The sequence below is a fragment of the Homo sapiens genome, chromosome 6 (genome assembly GCF_000001405.40).
Source record: "Homo sapiens chromosome 6, GRCh38.p14 Primary Assembly".
NCBI lineage: Eukaryota > Metazoa > Chordata > Mammalia > Primates > Hominidae > Homo > Homo sapiens.
This window is the reverse complement of record NC_000006.12, coordinates 37,459,381-37,481,971: the sequence shown is the minus strand read 5'-3', so window position 1 is coordinate 37,481,971 and position 22,591 is coordinate 37,459,381. Positions and strand designations below refer to the sequence as shown.

Genomic DNA, 22,591 nt, shown 5'->3' with positions numbered 1-22,591 from the left:
GTCAGTGAAACCATCTATCTCTCCCTCCCTCTTTCGCCCAAGTCTAGTGACACTAATTGGTCTGACGCCTCTGTTATTTTAGTCACACAGACTGATCCTGGATTGTCACAGTGCCACCATGGAGTGAGCTGTGTGATTTATGTAAGGGGGGAAGGTGCCTCTCTGCCCTTCCGGGGCTGTGGGTTCATTCATTCTGCAGTCCCTGCTTGTAACAGGAGCTGCACAATTTCCCCCAACTCTTCTTTGAGCCCCCTCTTGAGCAGCAAGCAGCAGCCCTGGGAGCCCTGCAGGTGCCCAAGAGCTTGAACAGGCTCCGATTAAACAAACCCTCTTTTCTCTCCTCTGCTTTGAGTAGAGCTGCTTCCCCTTCACCTCTGGCTCAAGCTGTTTCATCCAAGCCAGTCTCAGATCACAAAGCACTGAGGACAAACAGCAGCAGCCCCAACACAGAGCCACACAGGCATTAAAAATATGTTTATCTTTAATGATCCAAGATTCTGCAAGACACACTGATATACCCAGAATTGGGTGGAAATACAGCATCTCAGCAGTGCTACTGCCAGCCTGGGGGTGGGGAGCTGGATGCTGGCTGAAGGACCCCCATGGTGAAGTCGATTCCAACCTCACGGGAGCCTCAGTGCCCTATCTCCATGGAAACCAGCCTGGCACTGGGATGGGGCCCTAGGGAGCCTGCATGAACATCTCTGAGAGGTATTTCCCATTAAAAACAACCACAGGTGCCCACCCCCACCCCAAGCTACTGCCCAGCTCCCCCTCCTCTCTGTGTTGTCGGCCAAGATAAAGGAAATGGGAGTGACCACTTAACGACAAACAAAAGCAGATTGTACCTCCTATTAGGGAAGAAAAAGGAAGGGAAAGGGTAGTAAGGGAGCTGCACTTCAAGCTCAGAATTCTGCCAAGACCCTAGAGCGGCTATGGCAGACAGCGGTGCATGACTGCCAGAGGGCAGCGCTACCCAAACCCCTGGAGGTACCCTTTGTTACTGCTGGGGCCCCTGCTGCTGTGGGGGAAAGACGGGTCTTCAAGGCTGCTTCCTGCCATCTAGCGCTGCCCAATGTTTGGACCAAAAGGGGATGGCACCTAGGATGGCTCTACAACTCCATACTCAGTACGAAAAGAGGGCTCCCAGGATCTCAATGTGGTATCAGGGATGAGAGTTTGCCCAAACTCCCTCCTTCCCACCCTGCTGGACTGTCAGAGCTCTGGGCTAGGAAGAACTCCAGGGAAGGCCAGGATGAGTGGGGGAAGGAGACAAGAAAATGGTCTCCAATTTGGCATCAAAACAGAGTAAGTTCAAAGAAACAAAACCTTGATTTTTTTATAGCAGGTTCTCCTGGCCAGCTCATGACAGCAGGTCTCCACCCACTCAGGGATGGCCCAATAAAAAGTTGGGCAAAGCAAGGGCATGGCTACCCTCAGGGCAGTGCATGGAACTCAGAAAAGTGAGTCTACAGGATGCAGGAGAGAACAGCAGAGCCCACAGCTCTGCCACTCTGATATGTCCTCCATCAGTCCCACGTGCCCTAGGCACTGACCTCATACCTGCCTCAGGAGCAGCTTCCTTCAGGCTGAGTCCTGGCAGGGGAAAGTTCCCAGGCAGGTGTCCCAGAAGGAACATGAGTGTTCTCTGCAGGGCCCTGCCTGAGCTCTTCAGGGGATGGAGAGGAGGCCACCCACTCCTCATGCCAGGTGCAATGCTCCCCAGTCCCTTTTCAAGAGGGGGAAGAAGCCAGCACTGTGGGCCCCAGGTGGCCCCATCTCAGGAATGACAGGGCATTCTGCAGGGGTGGCACATTCTGAGGCTCTTAGGCCCTGTGCATCTGGATGAAGGAGAGGACGTCCTCCTTGGACAGCTTGTCCTGGTCCTGGGGCTTCTGGGAGTCATGCACACGAATGCCATCCCCCCACTCCCAGAAGAGCCGGCCATAGTAGCAAATGCTGGGGAGGAGAGGGATGGGAAAGAGGTCAGGACTGCACCCAGATGGCACAGGGTCATGTGTTCTTAAGGGTGTGGGGCGGAGGGGTCTGTCAATGACTTTAGTTGAGGTTCTTCCCCCGGCAGGCAAAAGGTACCCGGTAGGCCCTAACTCCCCTGCCTCCCAGAACCAACTTTTCCCAACAAACAGCTGTTGCTGCTAATTGCATCCAACTGGATTCCTACAGTGACTGATATTCCTGACTTATCTGTCTGTGCTTCTCTAATATACAGTATTAGTAGTGTGGTGACAGAAAATGTCAGTGGCTAATTACAGGCACATTAGGGCTGCTGGGGAAGCCTATGACCAACAGTCTGACTAATGGACACCGGGTCCTAATGAGGGACAGCTGGGACCTTGAGTGCCAAGGGGCAGGGCTGTGGGCCCTCAGCAGGTTCCCACCATCAGGCCAGTGTTGGAATGTCACCGAAACGTGGCTGCTCCATGGGGTGGATACGCTGCCCAGATGGGCCTTCACAGCCAGGCCCGTAACCATTAGCAGGTCCAGGCATCGTGCTTCCCTCACCAGCTCTACCCAGGTCCAGCCACACCTGCAGGGGGCTGCCATCCCCACAAGTATTCTCAGGCCTGTGCTCAGGGGAACCCCTGCATGGGCAACAGTCTCAGGACCCAGGGTGTGCCCCCAAGACAGCTGGCTGGCATCCTGCAGGAGTACTTGAGGCTGCTAAGGAGGGCAGGCTTGGAGGAGAGCTACTTACTGAAATGGGGCAATGGAGTCTGCAGGGAGGTCAAAAGTAGAGTCCTTGGTTTTCTTGTTGTAGAAGAACTTCTTCTTGAAGCTTTTGCTGAATCCCATAGTCCAGGGCTCTGATGGGAGGAAGAGGGGATGAAGCCCAGAAGGGACACAAAGCACTTGTGGAGGACAGGCGTGTACCTTCCTCCACTCCCGGTGGTCCTATTCCTGCCTCCCACCAAAAGCAAGCAGGGAATAGCCCGTGAGGCAGCAGCCTTCATCACCAGCCCAAAGGGGCTGCAGGAGAATGACTACGCGATGACTTCTTCTCAACGACCCCACCCCAGTCCTGCCAACCCTCCATCAGGGTAACATCTCTAGGACTCTGACAGATGTAGGACTCTGTTAGCCAGAGCGCTCTGAAGAAAGGGGGATGCAAATGGACAGAAACCAAGCTTGACTTTCTGGATTTGCTGCTGTCTACTGAGAAGGCCCTTTTCCTGCCATGAGAACAACACGTGCGTGTGTACAAGTTGAGCTCCTCTCCCTATTGCCTAACCAACTCCCAGGGCCCACGGAAGAACAGAAGAGGCTCAGGGAACACTGTCCCCTAACATATGCCTCAGAGAAATGCCAGCCTGGCTGCTACCCACCTTAGCTGGGAGCCCTTCGCTCTGGCTCAGGTAGGGTCTGGACCCATCACCTGGCGAGGAGAGGGGAGAGGGGAGGGGATGGCGGGAACAGTCCCTCCTCACCCACCATTCACTGTCCTGACGATGTAGAGGCCCATGGGTACAAAGTGCCGGTCATCACGCCCTGTGTAGCTGAGCTTTGGGGTGCCACTGGAGCCCTTGATGATCTTCATCTCCAACCTGATTTCCCCGAGAAGGTACGTGCATGAGAGAGAAAAGGCCCTGGCTGATAAAATTAGTCTCTGACTAATAAAATCACCCCAACTGCAGTATCTGATCCTGGTTTGACTTAAGATGAAACTGAGGCACACAGCCGAGTGGGTGGCCATGCTGAGTTTAGAATTCAGGCCCTGAATTCCCACTCAGGCAGTGGAGGCAGGGGAGTAACAAATGACCCTGCTGTGTCACTGCTGCTTGAGGGATTTCAGGGTGACACCAGTAAGGGTGAGATCTGACACCACGGGTGCCCATGGCAACACTGCAGCCACTGAAGAGTTAATGTAACCTCTACATAAGCACACCCAGAAGGAGACTGAGTTCTGTGAGCACCCGCACACCACTAAGAATATAAGGACGCATTTATGCCCCTTCTACCCCTCCAGGCTCAATTTCTCTCTCAGCAGCGGGAGCTGGGATTTATGGTATTTCAAGCAGCTTGCTGCTCTGCCCCTCGCAGGGCCCATCGTAACTATGACAGCATCAATGAGCCCGTATTTCTGCCTGACACAGCCCGCCTGGCTCCCTCCTGATAGGATGCTGAAGCAGCTGTCAGCTGGGGGACTCTTGACTGCAAGCAGTGCTGCAGCGAGGCAGATGAGGTGAGGGGACCGCTGGAGGCAGCTCACCACCCCCCGCCCCCGACCCATCTTATGAAACGGAGGATGACTACAGGACACGGCCGCACCCCCACCTCCTCTTGAATCTGAGCTTCACCGGTCAAGTCACTCACCTGACAAAAATCTTCTCCATCTCTTCCAGTCTGTACACCTCCTTCACCCTGCAGGTAGAGGGACAGAGACAAGACAAAGGCTTCCTGGGGGACATTCTCATCCAGGAGGCAGCTGGGAGGCAGGAGACTGCACTTGACCTTGGCTTCTGCCCCAGGCCCTCCCTGAAACCACCCAGCCCACCGGCAGCGAGGACACCAAGCCTGCCAACATGGCTGTTCTACACAGACAAGCCCTGGGTTTCAGAGCTGCCAAGCACCTCCTCAGGCCTGCGTCAGGGCAACTGGGGAGTGAAACTGGATACTGAAGACAGGAGGGAGAAAGAGGAAGAAAAGTCTGGCAGACAAAGATGTCTCTGTCAGCATTCCCACCCCCAAGTCATCTTCACCATCACCAGAGGGCAGAAAACAAAGGAGTAGGCTCTTGCCCAGGTCTGTCCACATGGATTTTAGGCCTTCCATAACAAGTTACTGCTAAACAGTCCTAATAGTCCTATTACCCACAGCGGGTGGGGAAACCCTAACAAGAATGCAGGGCTCTTGTTTGATGCCCATGCTCAGCTCTTGGGGGCCCTGAACATGTCTTTGGAACTGCTAGTGGGGAACGTTCCCAGAAATCGAGCAACCAAACCACAAGCAATGAAGGCAGGGTTCCCCCTGGGAGCTGTCTTTCAGGACCTAGCAGACAGGACATTTTAAAGTGCAGAAAGAAATTCCTTTGAAACTTTCACATGCCATCTATAAAGTGCATTCTCAATACTGGATTTAATTTTAACTAAGTAAATTTATGTTAAAAAGAACAAAAACAATGTGGATAAAGTGTAAATAGATACCTCAGTCTCCAGCCGCATGAAGCTCCCGAGAGCAGGGCTAAGCAGTGCCCTTTGGCAATAACCTCAGACCTCAGCCTACCCTGGAAAAGTGTGTCCTCCATCTGTCTCCTCCTGACTCTGTTCTCTTCCTCCTTTCTCTCTCAGGGTCCTGGAACTTTCCCACTATCTAACATTACAACCCTGGCCTCCTTCTCCCTCAGCACTGGGGGTCCCATTCCCTCAAACAATCCTTCTCTTTTTCATGTTCAAAATTCCTATTCCCTCAGCACCCATTTCTTACCTGAAAAAAAATTAAAAGGCCAGGTAATGTGCTAACAATGCTCAAGTGGGAACGGGTATTCATGAGGTGGGCTGGCACTCTCAGAAGCACGTGCATCCTAAACAAGGATGCCTTAACCCCTCAGAATGAAGTTCACCCACTGCCAGGCAGGATGGGGAGATGCTCTGGGGCAAGTCACCTACCTAGCACCCCCAAACAAACTTCATGGCAAGAATGGTCTTGTCTCTAACACCCACTTGCCTAGTGCCCTCCACTGAGCCCTCCTGTCCCTCACTGGACGGGAGCAGCAGGTACTGGCCAGAAAGAAGCATGGAGGGTAGGGACCACATGCTCACCTGATGGGATTCATGTCGGGCCGACTAGGCTTGGAAACGGCTTTCACAAATTTCTCGGCAAGCTGAATTCTACAATCCAAACAGTCTCTCTGAGAGGCAAGCCAAGGATGCCTCCACCAGCACCCCTACCCCCAGGGCATTTTCACAGCTCCAGTAGGAGAACCTTCTGAATCTGCGGCAAGACTGCTCTAAGAGGCAGCACCCATGTCCCCCAGGAAGCCCGCCCTGCCCTTCTCCACCGACGTCTTTATTCATGCCCCGCCCCTGTGGATTCTGACCTCTAATTTCACTATGTCGGTTGGTTTTCCTGAAGTGTGCCTTCAGCTGTGCTCAGTCACCTCCACTAGAACTTCAAGTATCATCTTTATTGTATGTGTCTGCCCTGTCACCCCAAAGCATGGAAACTACAGTGCACCCACTCAGATGAGCAACTTAAATGGGACCACTCAAGCACAGGATATTTCTTCCAAGGAGTACCCCCTCTACCCGCAAGGTCACCCTCTTGCTCAACCTTAACATAAATACCTCAACCTGAGCAGCTGTGGCAAAATGGAGTGTGCTGGTATCTCTGATAACCAGGGCCCAAGCCCTAGCAAACTCTGAAGTGGCAACTCCAATTCTCACCCTGACTTTGGGACCAGTCAGTGGGTGGGAGGGGGAAACTCTCAGGATGTCAACAAGCAGAGAAGGCCTAGATAAGGGGCCACACCTCGGGAGGCCGCTGTCCTCCCAAGCTGCCCTGGCCTACCCCCACCCTCCCTACCCTGGGGCCCAGGTCAGACCGCTGGTTAAAGTGCTGCTCCCGAACGTCGGTGCCATTCAGCACAAGGACATCGAGGATGTGGATGGCACTGATCTTCCTCTGGGCCTTCCCCTAGAAGGATAAGTAGGTACACTGCCCACTCTGCCAGGTGTCAGCCTTCAGCCCCCACTACCCACCATGGCATGCTGGCTCCATTCTGCCTACAGCTGGGGGAAGGGTAGGGCTCTAAATGCAGGATATTTTTCTTGTCTCCCTCCCAGCTGCTCCTCAGCATCAGACTGGCCTCGGCTTCTGAGCAGGGTAAGATCCAAGGCATTGGGTGATAAGGCCCCTTGAACCTCAAACCCAGTGAGGCTGCTGCCATGGCACTCCAGCCAGGATCTGGCTTACCCCCCTTGCCAGTTGCTCCTACTGACTGTTCTGAATGTCACCATATAGATTTCATACTCATGGCTCCTGAGAAACAAGTCTCTTGTTTCCCAAGGGATCTCTGGTCAAAAACTAAATCAGCTGCTAAAAAATACCCAGTAGACTCACCAGGGCCCTCAATGCACAGAGACAATCGAGGTCTCCTCTGACGCACGGAGACTGCGCTCCTCCTTACCTGAACCACTGTGGCTTAGAGCAACTGCTCGGGGAGGAGTCATTATAAACCCTTACCCCAGCCCTGGGCCCTGTCAGCCACCACACAATGTAACCAAGTTAACTCAGGGCAAAAGGCCAGGTTCAGCAGCCCCCTAGTCCCCTAGCTGCAGGGCCAACACCTGAGCAGAACCATCTCTGACCTCCCCTTTCAGCTCATGCACAATTTCCACAGATAGCAGAGTGTCCCGGGGCAGCTCTGTCTTCAGGTCTAGCTTGATCCAGCGGTCTGACTGGCGGCCATCCCATGTGTAGATCTGGGATTTCTACAGGCAGAGAGAAACAGCCAGGTAAGGAAGGCATGGAGATCGAGGGATAAGAGGCTTACTTCTCAAAAGAGCTTTTAGTTGGCAGCTACAAACTGATGGGACTGGGAAATGTCAGAAGAAAATGTCTATGAGAGATTAAATCCATTATACTTTAGTGATAATGATAGTAGTGTTCTCCAGTGCCTCAGCAGAAGAGAAGCAGAGATCTGGCTCAGCCTTGGAACGGGTGCAGGGCACCACTCAAAAGACCTAAGTCCATAATTAGTGGCCCTCAAAAAAGATCCAGTTTCGTATATGTCTAAGGTGGGTTTAGTGAAGAGTCCAGAGAGCAGAGAAGGAGAGAGTAAGTAAAATGAGAAAAAGACAAAGTGTGAGAGGGTACAAAAGAAGTAACTGAGGAAGACAGGATCAAATTATATAGAAACACAAGTCAAGAGTTGAAAGAAAAAGCAATGACTTTACCCAGTTAAGTAAGATAAAGAGCTTGCCAAGGCTTTCCCTCACCTCACTTTAGACTCCAGGGGGCCCAGGGTAGGGACAGGGAGTATCTTTGCAAGACAGGGGATGGGATGGCATGGGGTGGTGGTGGTGTTGCAAAGGAATGGCTGCCTGGGCTCAAGCCAGATAAGCCTGCTGACCACTCTGCTAGCCTGGGAAGCTCTGTATCACAAGAAAAGTAGCAGTGTTCCCTTTAGCAATGCACAGAATTGAAGAAACAAATGAAAGAATGAATGAATGACACTTGGCAAACTCAGAGGAAGAAAGGAAACGAAGTTTCAAGAAATACCTTCACTAGGGTCAAAGCAACAGCTACTTAATGCCAAGAGAACATGTACCAAGTGTGGCAGGCAGCTGTCCAGATTCCGCAAAGGGCAAATCCACCATTCCAAGCTGGGCAGGAAGCCAGCTGCAGACTTACCCCCAGGCCGATGAGGAACTTCTGCTCACTGCCAGATACCATGCAGCGGTAGTCAAACACAGGGCGGATCTTCTCCAGGGTTTTAGAGGTGAGCAGTGTGGGCTTGTAGCTGAAGATGTCAATCTCAGTGCCCTGCAGCCACGAGTCAGAGAAAACACTGCCGGGTTGGGGGAAGGGACAGTATGGGTGCCTATCTGGGCTGGGGGCAGGCTCGACAAGGCAAGGGACAGGAAGCATTGGCTCTCTGAAATATGCTCCCCTGCACCCCCTTCTCTACCTAACTGTGCACTAAATGGGATCTATTTCCATCTGCTTGGAATGTTCCTGTAGGACCTATTAGGAGAGGCTGGAAAAGGAAAGAACACTGAGTCCCCAAGTACAGATCAATTTACCAGACCTATAAGAAAATGTCACCAGAATATAAAAGCTGCCCCTTCAATAAAACTCAAAGCAAGGATTCTCCAGCAGTTGGTTTGAGAACAGTTTAGTGATCTCTTTACCCCATTTAGAAAAATGTACACATACTATTCTTTTGAGGGCATCTTGAACCTCAGTCTCTACTCCCTGACCCCCACAAAACCAGCACAATTGCCCATGATCTGGGACAGATTTAAATGAGGCCCAAGTAAAAGCTGGAGGTTGAGTGGTAGAAGAAACAGGGCAAAAGAACTCTGAGGACCAGCTCACCAGAAATAAGACAAAGAACCTGGGGTTAGGCCAACCCTGCTGCGGGCTTCCCTGGCAGCTCCCTTCACCCTGTGCCCAGCTCCCTTGCCTAAGATCATCCCACACTCTATGTCTCCTTTGTAGGCAAATCCCACAGGACCCTGAACTTGCCAGGGTGACACAGCCAGAACCACCCTTTGGGTGGCAGGAATGCTGAGCCCAAGCACTGAACATGAGAATCTTCCGTTGGCCTGACTGTGCTCTTGGGGAATTCAACACCCTATACCAAAGGTTCCCACCTGTGGCAGCCTTAGCTCCGCCCCTTAGAGCCCATGGTGGGCATCTGCACAAGCCCTCTGGAGACCATGCATCTGGGGCCTCAGTGATACCATCCACATCTAGAGACAGATCTCTAACTTTTTATGTCCACCACAGATACCAGTCTTACCTGGATTAGCTCAAAGAACTTCGATTTAGGGTCGGAGGAAGAAGGAGCCACACGAGCCTGGTCTGGGATCTGAAATAAGACAGCAAAGAGCTTTGACTTTCAAATGCCCTTTTGACCAAGACCGTGTATGAGTATATGCAGGTGGAGGAGATAGGGTCAGACTGGGGAGGAGGAATGGCACACAACAAAGGAGGCTAGGCTGACAGGGATGGAGGTGGATAATTCACTCACTGCTCCCTTTCAGATCCTGTGGCAATGGACCCCAAAGGCTACTTCCTTTTCTCTGGGGCTCTCTGTTGTCAGTGCTGCTACAAGGGGCCACCAGTTGCAAAACTGACACCGGCCCACCTCCCCACACCCCACCCCTTAGTCCTTTCTGACCCAGCTGCAGGGCCAAACCAGCAGTGAAAGGGCCAAGGACGTAACTACCAACAATGCCGAGATGTCAACCTCTGGGATGCTGTGAGGGTAGCAGATATTTTTGGATGCAGAGACACCCTAAGGTGACAGGATTGGGAGTCAACCCCATTCTTCTCTATGGCTTCCCTGCCCTGAAGCAGCAATGGGCGGGGGAGATACTCACCCCCCAGAGTCGGAGGCACTCCTTCCGTATCTCTGCCTGTCGAGGCTCACTCAGTGTCCTGGGAATATGAAGCCAGTTAGTGATTAAAATCTCTAAGAGGCACAGGAGTGCCCCCTGTGCACCCCTCATATCCCATAGAGAGGAGGCCTGAATGAATGAACATGTGAGTGTACACACAGACACTATGCTGCCACTGGCCCAGCGTGATTACAACACATGCAAGGCTCTCCTTTTGAAGACAGGAGCTCAAACATACACGAAATGGGATTACCTGCCCTTCTCACCACAATGGGAAAGGAGAAAGTGCCCTCCAGACGACCTGGATGCCAGGGTCCTCCCCGACACCCTTTTCAATCACCCATCAGCATGTTCTAGCTCCTCTTCTGCTGACACAGGCCACACTAAACCCATCCCACTGGATGTCACCATGCCCCACAAAGCTGAATTAGCTTATGTTCACCCCCTACCCGAGGTTTCTCTGATCAGTCCTACCTCTCCTCTCTTGATCACTCTTTACTCTGTGTCCCCTGAACATTATGTATTCTACTTGTGCCATGCCACTCTACACCCTCTGATGCACTGTTAATAACCTTTCCTGTATCCTTTTCCTGGGTTACTCTTATCTGCCCAAAGACAATGTAAAGTATTTGGGGACAAAGCTCATGTCATATGCTTCTCTGGCATCCTTCAGAGACCATAGCAGAGTATGAGAAAAAAGCAGGTGTTTTAAAATGTTTGTTGAAATGAAAAAAACAAACAGCTTGTGGGGAGGAAAAGCAAGATCTTCCCTTGAAATAGGTGGTTTCTGAAAAGTGGGCAACACTCACGTGTCTTGAACAAAGGCATGGATTTTCGCCAGAGCTTTGATCTGCAGACTACAGTGGCTAGAAGAAAAAAAAATTATTTGATCTCAGGATTACCAAAAAAGACAGGTAACTGACATCAGGACAGAGAGGTTAAACGGGAGCAGTGGCCATCTATATTTGGTGAAGGAGCTGGAGAGTTGAGAAAGAAACCCACACCCCTACCCCACAGTGCAGTTATGTGGGGCTTACTGAAGGATGAGGGTAGAACAGGAAAACTGGGTCACTCAGTTCTTAGATCCCAAGTCCTACTAAAAGGAAGCTTCTAATCCCACCCTTAAATAATCTGAAAGTAGTGGTGAGCTCATTCAAAGCCCAGATTCAGTTCAACTATAGACTAAGCTTACTCGACCTATGTATACTAACAGCCACCCTTTCTACTTTAGTCTTCACTGTTCTTTACACACAATGTCTGGCATTTAATAAAAAAATTATGAGGCATACGATGAAGCAAGAAAATGCTACCCATTGACAAGAGGGAAAACAGGCCAACAGAACAAGACCCGGAGATGGCCCAAATGTTGGAATTCTCAGATGGGGCCTTTAAGATAACTGTGATAAACATGTTAAAAGATCTACTGGAAAGGGTGAATGACGGCCAGGCGCGGTGGCTCACACCTGTAATCCCAGCACTTTGGGAGGCTGAGGCGGGCGGATCACGAGGTCAGGAGATCAAGACCATCCTGGCTAACACGGTGAAACCCCGTCTCTACTAAAAATACAAAAAATCAGCCGGGCGTGGTGGCGGGCGCCTGTAGTCCCAGCTACTCAGGAGGCTGAGGCAGGAGAATGGCGTGAACCCAGGAGGTGGAGCTTGCAGTGAGCCGAGATCGCGCCACTGCACTCCAGCCTGGGCAACAGTGCAAGACTCCATCTCAAAAAAAAAAAAGGGTGAATGACATATATAAAAAGGTGAAGATTTTCAGCAAAGATATAGAAACTATATTTTTAAAAGGCAAATAGAAATTCTAGAAATGAAAATATGTTAGAGATGAATAATTATTTTGCTGGGATTGGCAGACTGAACATAGTAGAGGAAAGAATCAGTGAACCTGAGGACAGACATGTCAACAGAAACCCAAACTGAAACATAAAAGAGGAAAAAAAGTGAAAAAAAAAAACAGATCATCTAGGTATTGGGGACAATAGCAAACTGCTTAACATAAACATAATTGGAGTTCCAGAAGCAGAGGAAAGAATAAAACAATATATTAGGCCAGGTGCGGTGGCTCACACCTGTAATCCCAGCACTTTGGAAAGTTAAGGTTGGCGGATCACCTGAGGTCAGGAGTTCGAGACCAGACTGACCAACATAGCAAAACTCTGTCTCTACTAAAAATACAAAAACTAGCCAGGCATGGTGGTGGGCACCTGTAATCCCAACTACTCAGGAGGCTGAGGCAGGTGAATCACTTGAACCCCAGAGGCGGAGGTGGCAGCGAGCCGAGATCACACCATTGCACTCCAGCCTGGGCAACAGAGCGAGACTCCATCTCAAAAAAAAAAAAAAAAAAAAAAAAGGATAAAACAACATATTGACAAACTAATGGCCAAGAAATTTCCTGAAGAGTTGAATGAAATCAATCCACAGATCCAAGGTCAATGAACCCCAAGCAGAATAAATACAAAGAAAACCACATATAAATATATCAAGATTGAGATATTAAAAATAACAGATAAAATATTAAAAGCAGCCAGAGGGGAAAAAGACACATGACATACAGAAAAACAACAGGTATAATGGCTGACTTTTCATCAGAAACAAGGGAAGCAGAGAACCATGGAATCATATCTTTAAAGTGCTAAGAGAAAAAACATCAACCTCAAATTCCATACCCAGTGAAAATATCCTTCAAAAATGAAAGGGAAATAGTTTTTTGTTTTGTTTTTTGTTTTTGTTTTTTTTTTAAACAGAGTCTGACTCTATCACCCAGGCTGGAGTGCAGTGGCACGATCTCGGCTCACTGCAGCCTCCATCTCCTGGGTTCAAGCAATTCTTTGGCCAGAAGGGAGTTTTGCCATGTTGGCCAGGCCAGTCTCAAGCTCCTGGCCTGAGGTGATCCACCTGCCTTGGCCTCCCAAAGTGCTGGGATTACAGGCGTGAGCCACCATGCCCAGTCTAAATACATTATTTTTATTTATTTATTTATTTATTTTTTGAGACGGAGTCTTACTCTCTCACCTAGGCTAGAGTGCAATGGCACAATCCCGGCTAACTGCAACCTCTGCCTCCCAGGTTCAAGTGATTCTTCTGCCTCAGCCTCCCGAGTAGCTGGGATTACAGGTACCCGCCATCATGCCGGGCTAATTTTTGTACTTTTGTAGAGACGGGGTTTCACCATGTTGGTCAGGCTGGTCTCGAACTCCTGACCTCAGGTGATCCACCTGCCTCAGCCTCCCAAAGTCCTGGGATTACAGGCGTGAGCCACCATGCCTGGCCTAAATACATTTTTAAATAGACAAAAGCAGGGAATTAGTCTCCAGCAGACTTGTACTACAAAGACAGGCTAGAAGAAATTCTTTAGGGTGAAGCAAAATGATTCCAAATAGAAATCTGGTTCTACAGGAAGGAATGAAGAACACCAGAAAGGTAAGTATGTCAGTAAATACCAAGGACCTTTTTAAAAAAATTAGATATATATGTGCATGCATGTGCATCTTTAAAAGACTATAAACGGTTTAAAGTAAAAATAGTAACAATATAAAGTAGAGTTTATATAAAAACAAAAACACAAAGACAAAAGAACAATAGCATGTATCGTGTTGTAAGGTTCTTACACTGTTCATAAAACAATGAAATAGTTTTGGAAGGCAGACTGATTACTTAAAGGTGCATATAGTAATCTCTACAGCAACAATTGAAACATAGCAAAAAAAAAAAGGCATCTAAAAAACCTCAAAGAGATAAAAGGAATACTAAAAAATACTGAATTATTTTAAAAATACTGAATTAGTTATTAAAAAATACTGAATTAGTCCCCCCCCCCACAAAACAGAGGGAAGAAAGGAAGAGAGGAACAAAGAGCAGACAGGATAAATAGAAATCAAACAACCAAGATAGGGGATTTAAAGCTAAACATTAATAATTACACTCAATGTAAATGCACCAATCACCCCAATTAAAATGCAGAGACTTTTATCCAGATCAGACTGGACAAAAAGGTAAGACTCAACCACATGTTGTCTATAAGAAACATATTTAATCATAAAGACAAAGGTAGAAGGACAAAAAAAGACCATATAAACACTAAGCTAAAGAAAGCTTATGTGGCTATACTAATGTCAGATAAAGCAGACTTTCAGACAAGGAGTATTACTGGAAATAAATAGGGTATTTCATAACAATAAAAGGTCAATTCATCAAGAAAACAAAACTATCTTAAATGTACATGTGCCTAATAACAAAGATCCCAAATAGCTGAAGAATTGACAAAACTAACAGAAGACACAGACAGCTCAATAATCATAGTTAAAGACTTTAACAACCCTCTTAGCAGTTAACAGAATAAGTACTCAAAATATCAGTTAAGATTTAGAAAATTTGAAAAACACTATGAACCAACTTGACCAAATTAACATTTATAGAACATTATGCCAAGCAACACCAAGATAGAGCATATGATGGGTCATAAAATAAGCTTCATTAAGTTTCAAAGGATCAAAATCATACAGAATACATTCTCTGAGAATGGTGTGACTAAATCTAATAGATATCTTGAAAATCCTAAATTATCTGAATATTAAATACAACACATATACATAATCTATGAATCAAAGAACAAATCATAAGGAAAAATTTAAAATATATGAGCCATAGGTTAATTAAAAGACACATATCAAAATGTAGGAGATTCAGCTAAAGCATCCTTTTTTTTGAGACACGGTCTCGTTCTGTCACCCAGGCTGGAGGGCAGTGGTGCGATCTTGGCTCACTGCAACCTCTACCTTCTGAGTTCAAGCAATCCTCCTGCCTCAGCCTCCTGAGTAGCTACCACAGGTGTAAGCCACCATGCCCAGCTAATTTTTGTACGTTTTGTAGAGACAGGGCTTCACCATGTTGCCCAGGCTAGTCTCAAACTCCTGAGCACAAGTAATCAACTGCCTCAGCCTCCCAAAGGGCTGGGATTACAGGTGTGAGCCACCGTGCCTGGCCCTAAAGGATCCTTAAAGGAAAATTTATAACATTAAAAATTATATATATATACACGTATGTGCAGAAATAGAAAAACCCATCCTAAAATTTATATGGAATCTCAAGGGACACCAAATAGCCAAAATAATCTTGAAAATGATGAGCAAAGTTGGAGAACTCACACTTTCTAATTTTAAAACTTCCTACAAAGCTACAGTACTAAAAACTGTCTACTACTGGCATAAAGACAGACACATATACCAATGGAAGAGATAGCCCAGAAATAAACTCTTACATATATATGGTTAAATGACAGATGCCAAGACCAATCAACGGGGAAAGGGCAGTGTTTTCAACTAATGGTGCTGGGAAAACTGGATATTCACATGCAGAAGGACCCTTACCTAATACTCTATACAAAAATTAACTTAAAATGAATCAAAGATCTAAATGTAACAGATAAAACTGTAAAATTCGGCCGGGTGCAGTGGTTCACACCCGTAATTCCAGCACTTTGGGAGGCCGAGGCAGGAGGATCACGAAGTCAAGAGATTGAGACCATCCTGGCCAAGAGATCGAGACCATCCTGGCCAACATGGTGAAACTCCATCTCTACCAAAAATACAAAAATTAGCTGGGCGTGGTGGCACGCACCTGTAATCCCAGCTACTCGGGAGGCTGAGATGGGAGAATTGCTTGAACCCGGGAGGCAGAGGTTGCAGTGAGCCGAGATTGTGCCACTGTACTCCAGCCTGGTAACAGAGCAAGACTCCGTTTCAAAAAAAAAAAAAAAAACAAAAACTGTAAAACTCTTTAAAAACATAGAGGAAAGATTAATGACATTGAATTTAACAATGATTTCCTGCATATAACACCAAAAGCACAAGGAATAAAAGAAAAAAATTGGTAAATTGGATTACATCAAAATTTTAAACTTCAGTGCATCAAAGGACACAATCAATGCAGTGGGGAAAAAAAAAACCTACAGAATCACAGATATTTTCAAATCACATATCTGACAAGTGATTAATATCCAGAAATATATAAAGAACTCCTACAGTTCAACAACAACAACAACAAACAAACAAAAAAACAATTAAAAACAGCCAAAGGTCAGCCAGACATGGTGGCTCATGCCTGAAATCCCAGTACTTTGGGAGGCCTAGGTGGGCAGATCACCTGAGGTCATGAGTTCAAGACCAGCCTGGCCAACATGCTGTAACCTGTCTCTACTAAAAATACAAAAATTAGCTGGGGGTGGTGGTGGGTGCCTGTAATCCTAGCTACTCCAGCTACTCACAGGACTTGTATCCAGAATGTAAAATAATTCCTGCAACTTAATAAAGAGGCAAATCAATTTTTTTAAATGTTCAAAAGACTTGAAGAAGCACTTCATAAAATAAGATATACAAATAGCCAATAAGCACATAAAAAGGGGTTCAATATAATTAGTTGTCACAGAAATACATATTGAAACCACAATGATGTAACACTACATTGCACCAAATGGTTAAAATAAAAGACTGATAATACCAAATGCTGACAAAGACGTAATCAGAACTTCACACTTTGCTGAAAGGAGAATAAAACAATATATATAAATTGTTCTATTGTTTTTATATATAATATACTTTTTTTTTTTTTGAGACAGAGTCTCACTCATTGCCCAGGCTGGAGTACGATGGCGCGATCTCGGCTCACCGCAACCTCGCCTCCCGGGTTCAAGCGATTCTCCTGCCTCAGCCTCCCCAGTAGCTGGGATTACAGACATGCGCCACCATGCCCAGCTAATTTTGTATTTTCAGTAGAGATGGGGTTTCACCATGTTGGCCAGGCTGGTCTCAAACTCCCGACCTCAGGTGATCCACCCGCCTTGGCCTCCCAAAGTGCTGGATTACAGGCGTGAGCCACCGCGCCCGGCCATAATATACATATTATATGTATACTATATACATATACATTGTTTTATTGTTTGTCTGTACACACACACACACACACACACACACACACACACACAGCGTTTTAGAAAACTATGTGGTATTTTAAAATAAACATACATCTCCTCTATGATCCAGAATTTCCCACTCAGGTATTTACCCAAGGGAAATTACAACATTTGTCCACCAAAAACTTTGTACAAGAATGTCTGTATCAGCTTTATTCGTAACAGCCCCAAACTGGAAATATCTCAAGTGGCCATTGACAAAAGAATCCTCATACAATGGAATGGAATACTAGTCAGCAAGAAAAAGAAACCAACTAACATAATATGAATGAATCTCAAAAACATGAGGAGGAAAAAATCCCAGACACAAAATACAAAAGTAAAACTAACTTGTGGTGATAAAACTCAGAAGAGGGGTTACTTTGGGGCTGCCTGAGTAGGGGCATAAGAAAATTTCCTTAGGTGATGGAAACGTTTTTTATCTTTTTTTTTTTTTTTGAGATGGAGTCTTCCTCTGTCGCCCAGGATGGAGTGCAGTGGCGCGATCTCGGCTCACTGCAAGCTCTGCCTCCTGGGTTCACGCCATTCTCCTGCCTCAGCCTCCCAAGTGGCTGGGACTACAGGCGCCCGCCACCACGCCTGGCTAATTTTTTTTGAATTTTTAGTAGAGATGGGGTTTCACCGTGTTAGCCAGGATGGTCTCGATCTCCGGATCTCGTGATCCATCTGCCTCAGCCTCCCAAAGTGCTGGGATTACAGGTGTGAGCCACTACGCCCGGCCACATTTTTTATCTTAATAGGGATGTAGGCTACAAGGATATATGCATTTGTAAACTGATTATACACTTAAGATTTGCATTTCACTTACAGAATTATACCTCAACTTTTTTAGAAAAAGAAAAGTGGCTGGTTATAGAGTTGCTTAAACACTCTGTGTTATTGGAACCCCTGAAAAGAATTCCAGTTCTGCCATGCATCTATGCACACTTGTTCAGCCAAAAGACATGTTCCATAACCCAGAAGTGTTACAAAGCCCTAGCCAGGCGGGTCGCTGGGCCTGTTTGCTTCCTCATCTATAACATGCTGAAGTTTACTGTCTGCTCCACCTTGGTGCCTACCATTGCTATCAAAATGAGGGCGCTTATATGGCAGTACTGTGGAAAGTTAAAACACCAGGCAATACTGGAAAAATAGGAGAGAATAGGATAAAGACTTCCTCCCCTTCTATGATTCTCCAGGGCCACCTCTATCTTCAAACTTCTCTGGGGGACTTAAGGTTGGACCCTTAACTAAGGCCTTTCCAACACCTGTTTAGCCCCCTAAGAGAGCATTTTCTATTGAATCACTACTACTATACAACCCTCCAGCCTATCTCCAAACACTTTTTTCAAAGGCCTGCCCACTGAGAAAACTAAGCCAAATGTCACAACTTTAAATTATTACCACTAACAGGGAGTGGGGAAAACAAAGAAGATACAGAAAACAGCATTTGGATCACCAGCTGGGGAACTCATGAAGAAATGGCAAAAGTTTGGGCACTTCCAAAGCATGTTGTACACATGCTTTCCATCCATCTCCTGCCTCCAAACAGGGACTTCACCAGGCAACAAGCATGATGGCCTTTTACAAACAGCAGCAATTAAAGGGAAATTACTCCTGCCTCCAGGGACACAGGCTGCTCTGTCAGCTTTCACTGTTATACACAGGCTCCTGCAGGCAGGCCTATACTAGCCAGGCACCTACCTGCCACCCTTGGGATAGGGCATGGCAGCAGGATGGGGGTCCCTGAGGGTAACTAACCAAAGTCCCAGGGAGCCCTGAAACCAGCAGACCAAACCCAGTTGCCAATTTGTCAGGGTTGACAAAGTGATACCAAGAGCCAACCATTCAGTCTTTCACTCTCTGGTCTTCCTTAGGACCTCAGTGTTACCAGCAAAAACCAGCCCGTTGGCTTACCTCTCATTGGACCGTATCATGTAGTCAGTAAATTCATGGTCTCCCTTGATCACCTCCAGGGGGACCACCAAGTTGACGTCGGAATCCGTGTTCCGCAGCTGATTGAGTTTAATATTCACTGCGAAGAGGTAATCCCGAACATCATCTATGCCCACCTTCAGGCCCTTGCACACCACATACCTGGCAGAAGATACTCTGTCACTCCACCGAGCAAGGGCTTCCTCCCCATACATTCCTTTTCCCCCAACCCCTTGTGGAATCACAAAGCTTAATGGCTTCCCTGTTCAACCTTAGGCCTACGCACAAAGAACAACACAGACCCTTTGTGGTGCTAAAGTTCCCCTCAAATCCTTCTCTGTTGAGCTCTATTTCTACTCTCTATCGCAGTAGTTCCTAACTTCCCTGTGACAGACGGGCTGTGTCACAATCACCTGGGGAGTCTGTTAAATTATAGACCTAATGAATCAAACTCTCCCAGGAGAAGGCCCAGAAATATGTGTTTGTAACAAAGCCACCGGGCAATTCTGATTGGTTGCATTTTCTCTCACCTTGTGTGTGGGCAGTGTCACACTGGGACCCCAGTAGTGCCTCTGGATAGCGGCTCCTTGCCCCTTCCCAGCCCAAGACCCCTGAAGTGTCCCTACTATTGGTCACTTTCTCCTTGGCCAAGCTGAGAATCCCTCACATAAGCATGGAGCATAAGGCTTGGAAGAAGGAGGCAGAGGCTGAACTGGCATATCACAAGACCAAAAGATCCAGGAATCCTGAATCCTGTTGGCTCTCATCACTTCTTTAAAGTCAAGGTTTTAAACGTAGCTTAAGAGGTCATGCCAGAGAGATGCACCATGATTTGCTGTTCTGACATTTAGCCAATTAATCTGGCTAATATAGAGAGAAAGGCTTCACCTCTCTGAGTTGGCAGGACGGCTGGTAATAGGCTTGAAGAGACAAACTCGTTCAAAGCAGCAGTACAGCAGGTAGACAAGCCCCACACTAAACGGTGTGAACAGGTCAAAGGTTTTACAGATGAAGTGGCCTCCTAGATTAGAGAGAAAACACCAAAAGCAGCCAATGGGTCTATTCCAAGAGATGGGTGAAGTAGTCTTGGGAGTAAATATGACAAAGTCAAGGAAACCAGCACCTGGGTCTGTTAAAACTCAGAGACAATTTAAGGGGGAGAACCATCTTTGGAGGGGACTTTGAGGATTCCACAGCCCTTTCTTCCCTAAATTACTCATTTAGCTACCTGTCCTCTAATATAAGCAGATTTTTTTAACTTCCCCACCAACCCCTTGTACATGTTCTTGTCCAATAGGGCCTCTAAGTGGGTCCTGGGGTGAGGAGACAGCTGAGGAAGTGTCACCTGTCCGGACAATGGACAGCGCCATGAGGAACTGACACAGAAGCAGCTGCTTGCTGAGGATCTCCTGCAGGTTCTCCTGCCCCTCCACCGAGAAACCCTGAAATGAGAGCACAAGGAATGGGGTGGGAAAGAGAAAAGAGAAGGACTAAGAATAACATCACTACCTCATCTTCATCGAGAGTTCTTGAAGTGTTTTCACTGATCACCATCTGATTGATGAAGAAGCAGCTCAGTGTTGAGTTATTTTAGAAGGTCACTGGGCTTGTTAGATGGAGTAAGCACAGGACCCAGGCCTACTACTGGACCAGCTCCACTTTCCTGCTCTGTCATTCTCAGGGGATGGAACCAAGCCTGCTTTTCCAAGGAGATGGTTTAGAATGTGTTTTAACTCATGGGAATCCAGAGAAGAGTAAGGCAGAACAGAGGCAAAATATTGGCTAGTCAGAGGTCAACCACAACATAGGAAACAGAATGCTCTGGTGAGTCCTAACAAGACCAGGGAGTGAGTACAGTGAGAACACTCTGCTTCGGCTTCCCACTCTGGTGAAGGAGAAAAGTTAACTTTCCTAGTCACAGTAATCTCTCTCTGTTGACTCAGGTTTTACTTACAATACCCCCTTTCCTGTCCTAAGACCACGGTGCCTCTTGTATCCAGCTGGCAGACTCTCTGGCCAGGGTATTTACTGAAAGAATGTGTGATGCTATTTCTAGAGTGGTCTCCCTCCTTGTGAGATCCCAGCAGGAGACAGAGTCAGGCTTACATAAAAGTAAAGGAGGCCAGGGGACATCAGGTGGCACAGTGTTGTTAAATGGGTACAGTTTCTGTTTTGCAAAATGAAAACTTCTGAAAATCTGTTGCACAACAGTGTGAATAGACTTAACACTACTGTTAACACTTAAAAATGATTAAGATGATCAAATTTGTGTTTTTTACAATAAAATAAAGAAAAAAGGACGCTGCCCTCTATTAAACACGCCCCAGGTGTCCCTGACTCAGTTCTACAGAAGTGATAGCTAAAGGACTCAGGATAAGAAATGTTTAGGAGTGTCTTCCAGACTTAAAGATGCTTCTCAAAATGCATGCCTGATTATGGGGTCAATTAAAAAAAAAAAAAGCCCAGGTCACCCCTTTACACTGCTGAAGTGCTGAAGCAGAAAGCCCTTGAGCTTCCAACTCTATAGCTGCCGCACAGCAACAGCTGCCTCATTAGCGCTATCAGACTCCCACATCTGCTCAGCCAGAGCAGCCCCTCCCTCACAGCCAGCCCCAAGCCTGTCATCTGTTGTTCCCTGCTGTGCACAGTGCTTTGGTGAGCCTAGGCATCTTTGGATATCATGCTGACATCCTGCCCACCTTCCTTCACTAGCCACACAGCTACTGCTTAAGAGGCCACCCAAAGAGTCCCAGAGGCTTTTCTCAACTCTAGCTATATGATCCTGGAGCAGCTGCCAAATTGTCTGTCCTTCCTCTAGAGTAAGTGGTGGCTCACTCCAGAAAGGAATGCCTGCATTGTCAGATTACTGGGTGAGAGCTTCTGCTGAACAAAGCTGCAATGGGCTTCCCTCTGTGCCTCAAGCAGCTGCCCATAGACAAGGCCTCTTGAACATTCACTTTAACCCAGCCCTGACAAGAGCCTCCTGTGGATTCCTCTGTGCTGCCGTCTTTGGTTAGGTGGCCATCTGTCAGCCTATGAGAGGCTTACAGGTGACCATGTATAGACAGCCTCCACCAGGAGCAACACCAAGATCACCCTGCTCCAGGCAAAGGTATCCACAACATCAGTCTCTACACAATTATCATTTAAAAAATGTATAAAAAGAATAAAAATGCATTCTCTACAATCTGAACTGTGAAATACCATCTTTGGGAGCAGCTAAAGAACCAGATAAAACAAACAATTCTCAAACCTCTAAAATAACAAATCCTTAATGCATCAGTCTATGGAAAAAAGGTAACCTACCCCATCAGCCATCAGAAAATGGACACCCTTGCGATCTGTGTTATCCAGGACAAAATTCCGAAAAGCAGAGATGTTCTCTGGGCGGGTGATATCTCCATCTCCATCAATCCCACCCTCACCTGTCAGAATACAAGAGTCATAGTGAGTTCATCTGCCCTATACATGTCAGGAGCTGGGACACGAGTGCTCTGGGTCAGTGAAGACGGGCATCAGGTGTCTCAAGAACTAGGGCCCATCCTGCAAGGCTCCCTTACAGTGATGGACCAGGAGGAACAACAGTACTCTGCTATAATGAAACACAGTC

The 22,591-nt window shown here is 47.2% G+C and overlaps 1 protein-coding gene across 3 annotated transcripts in view, besides 2 other annotated features; it reads right to left on the bottom strand.

Annotated features, from left to right (window-relative positions):
- Positions 1-463: 463 nt before the first annotated feature.
- The window catches only part of CMTR1 (cap methyltransferase 1), a 57,524-nt gene continuing 35,396 nt past the window's right edge, over positions 464-22,591 (bottom strand). For all 3 annotated transcript variants that reach the window (XM_047418463.1, XM_047418462.1, NM_015050.3), the window contains 15 exons: positions 22,288-22,406; positions 20,327-20,423; positions 19,870-20,002; positions 18,964-19,143; positions 10,895-10,951; positions 10,068-10,125; positions 9,485-9,553; positions 8,371-8,502; positions 7,326-7,448; positions 6,560-6,651; positions 5,778-5,846; positions 4,333-4,380; positions 3,451-3,563; positions 2,717-2,825; positions 464-1,959 (listed from right to left, as the gene is read on the bottom strand). In XM_047418463.1, the coding sequence (XP_047274419.1) occupies positions 1,827-1,959; positions 2,717-2,825; positions 3,451-3,563; positions 4,333-4,380; positions 5,778-5,846; positions 6,560-6,651; positions 7,326-7,448; positions 8,371-8,502; positions 9,485-9,553; positions 10,068-10,125; positions 10,895-10,951; positions 18,964-19,143; positions 19,870-20,002; positions 20,327-20,423; positions 22,288-22,406 (1,532 nt within the window). In that variant the 3' untranslated portion in view covers positions 464-1,826. The remainder of the gene's footprint in view (positions 1,960-2,716; positions 2,826-3,450; positions 3,564-4,332; positions 4,381-5,777; positions 5,847-6,559; positions 6,652-7,325; positions 7,449-8,370; positions 8,503-9,484; positions 9,554-10,067; positions 10,126-10,894; positions 10,952-18,963; positions 19,144-19,869; positions 20,003-20,326; positions 20,424-22,287; positions 22,407-22,591) is intronic.
- Positions 789-1,489: an enhancer, noted in NCBI's record as "NANOG-H3K4me1 hESC enhancer chr6:37448259-37448959 (GRCh37/hg19 assembly coordinates)". NCBI's record gives its function as "activates a minimal SCP1, AML or CMV promoter by ChIP-STARR-seq in naive H9 embryonic stem cells {active_cell/tissue: H9 hESC(naive)}" and the evidence as "EXISTENCE:reporter gene assay evidence [ECO:0000049][PMID:30033119]".
- Positions 21,489-22,143: an enhancer, noted in NCBI's record as "OCT4-NANOG hESC enhancer chr6:37427605-37428259 (GRCh37/hg19 assembly coordinates)". NCBI's record gives its function as "activates a minimal SCP1, AML or CMV promoter by ChIP-STARR-seq in primed H9 embryonic stem cells {active_cell/tissue: H9 hESC(primed)}" and the evidence as "EXISTENCE:reporter gene assay evidence [ECO:0000049][PMID:30033119]".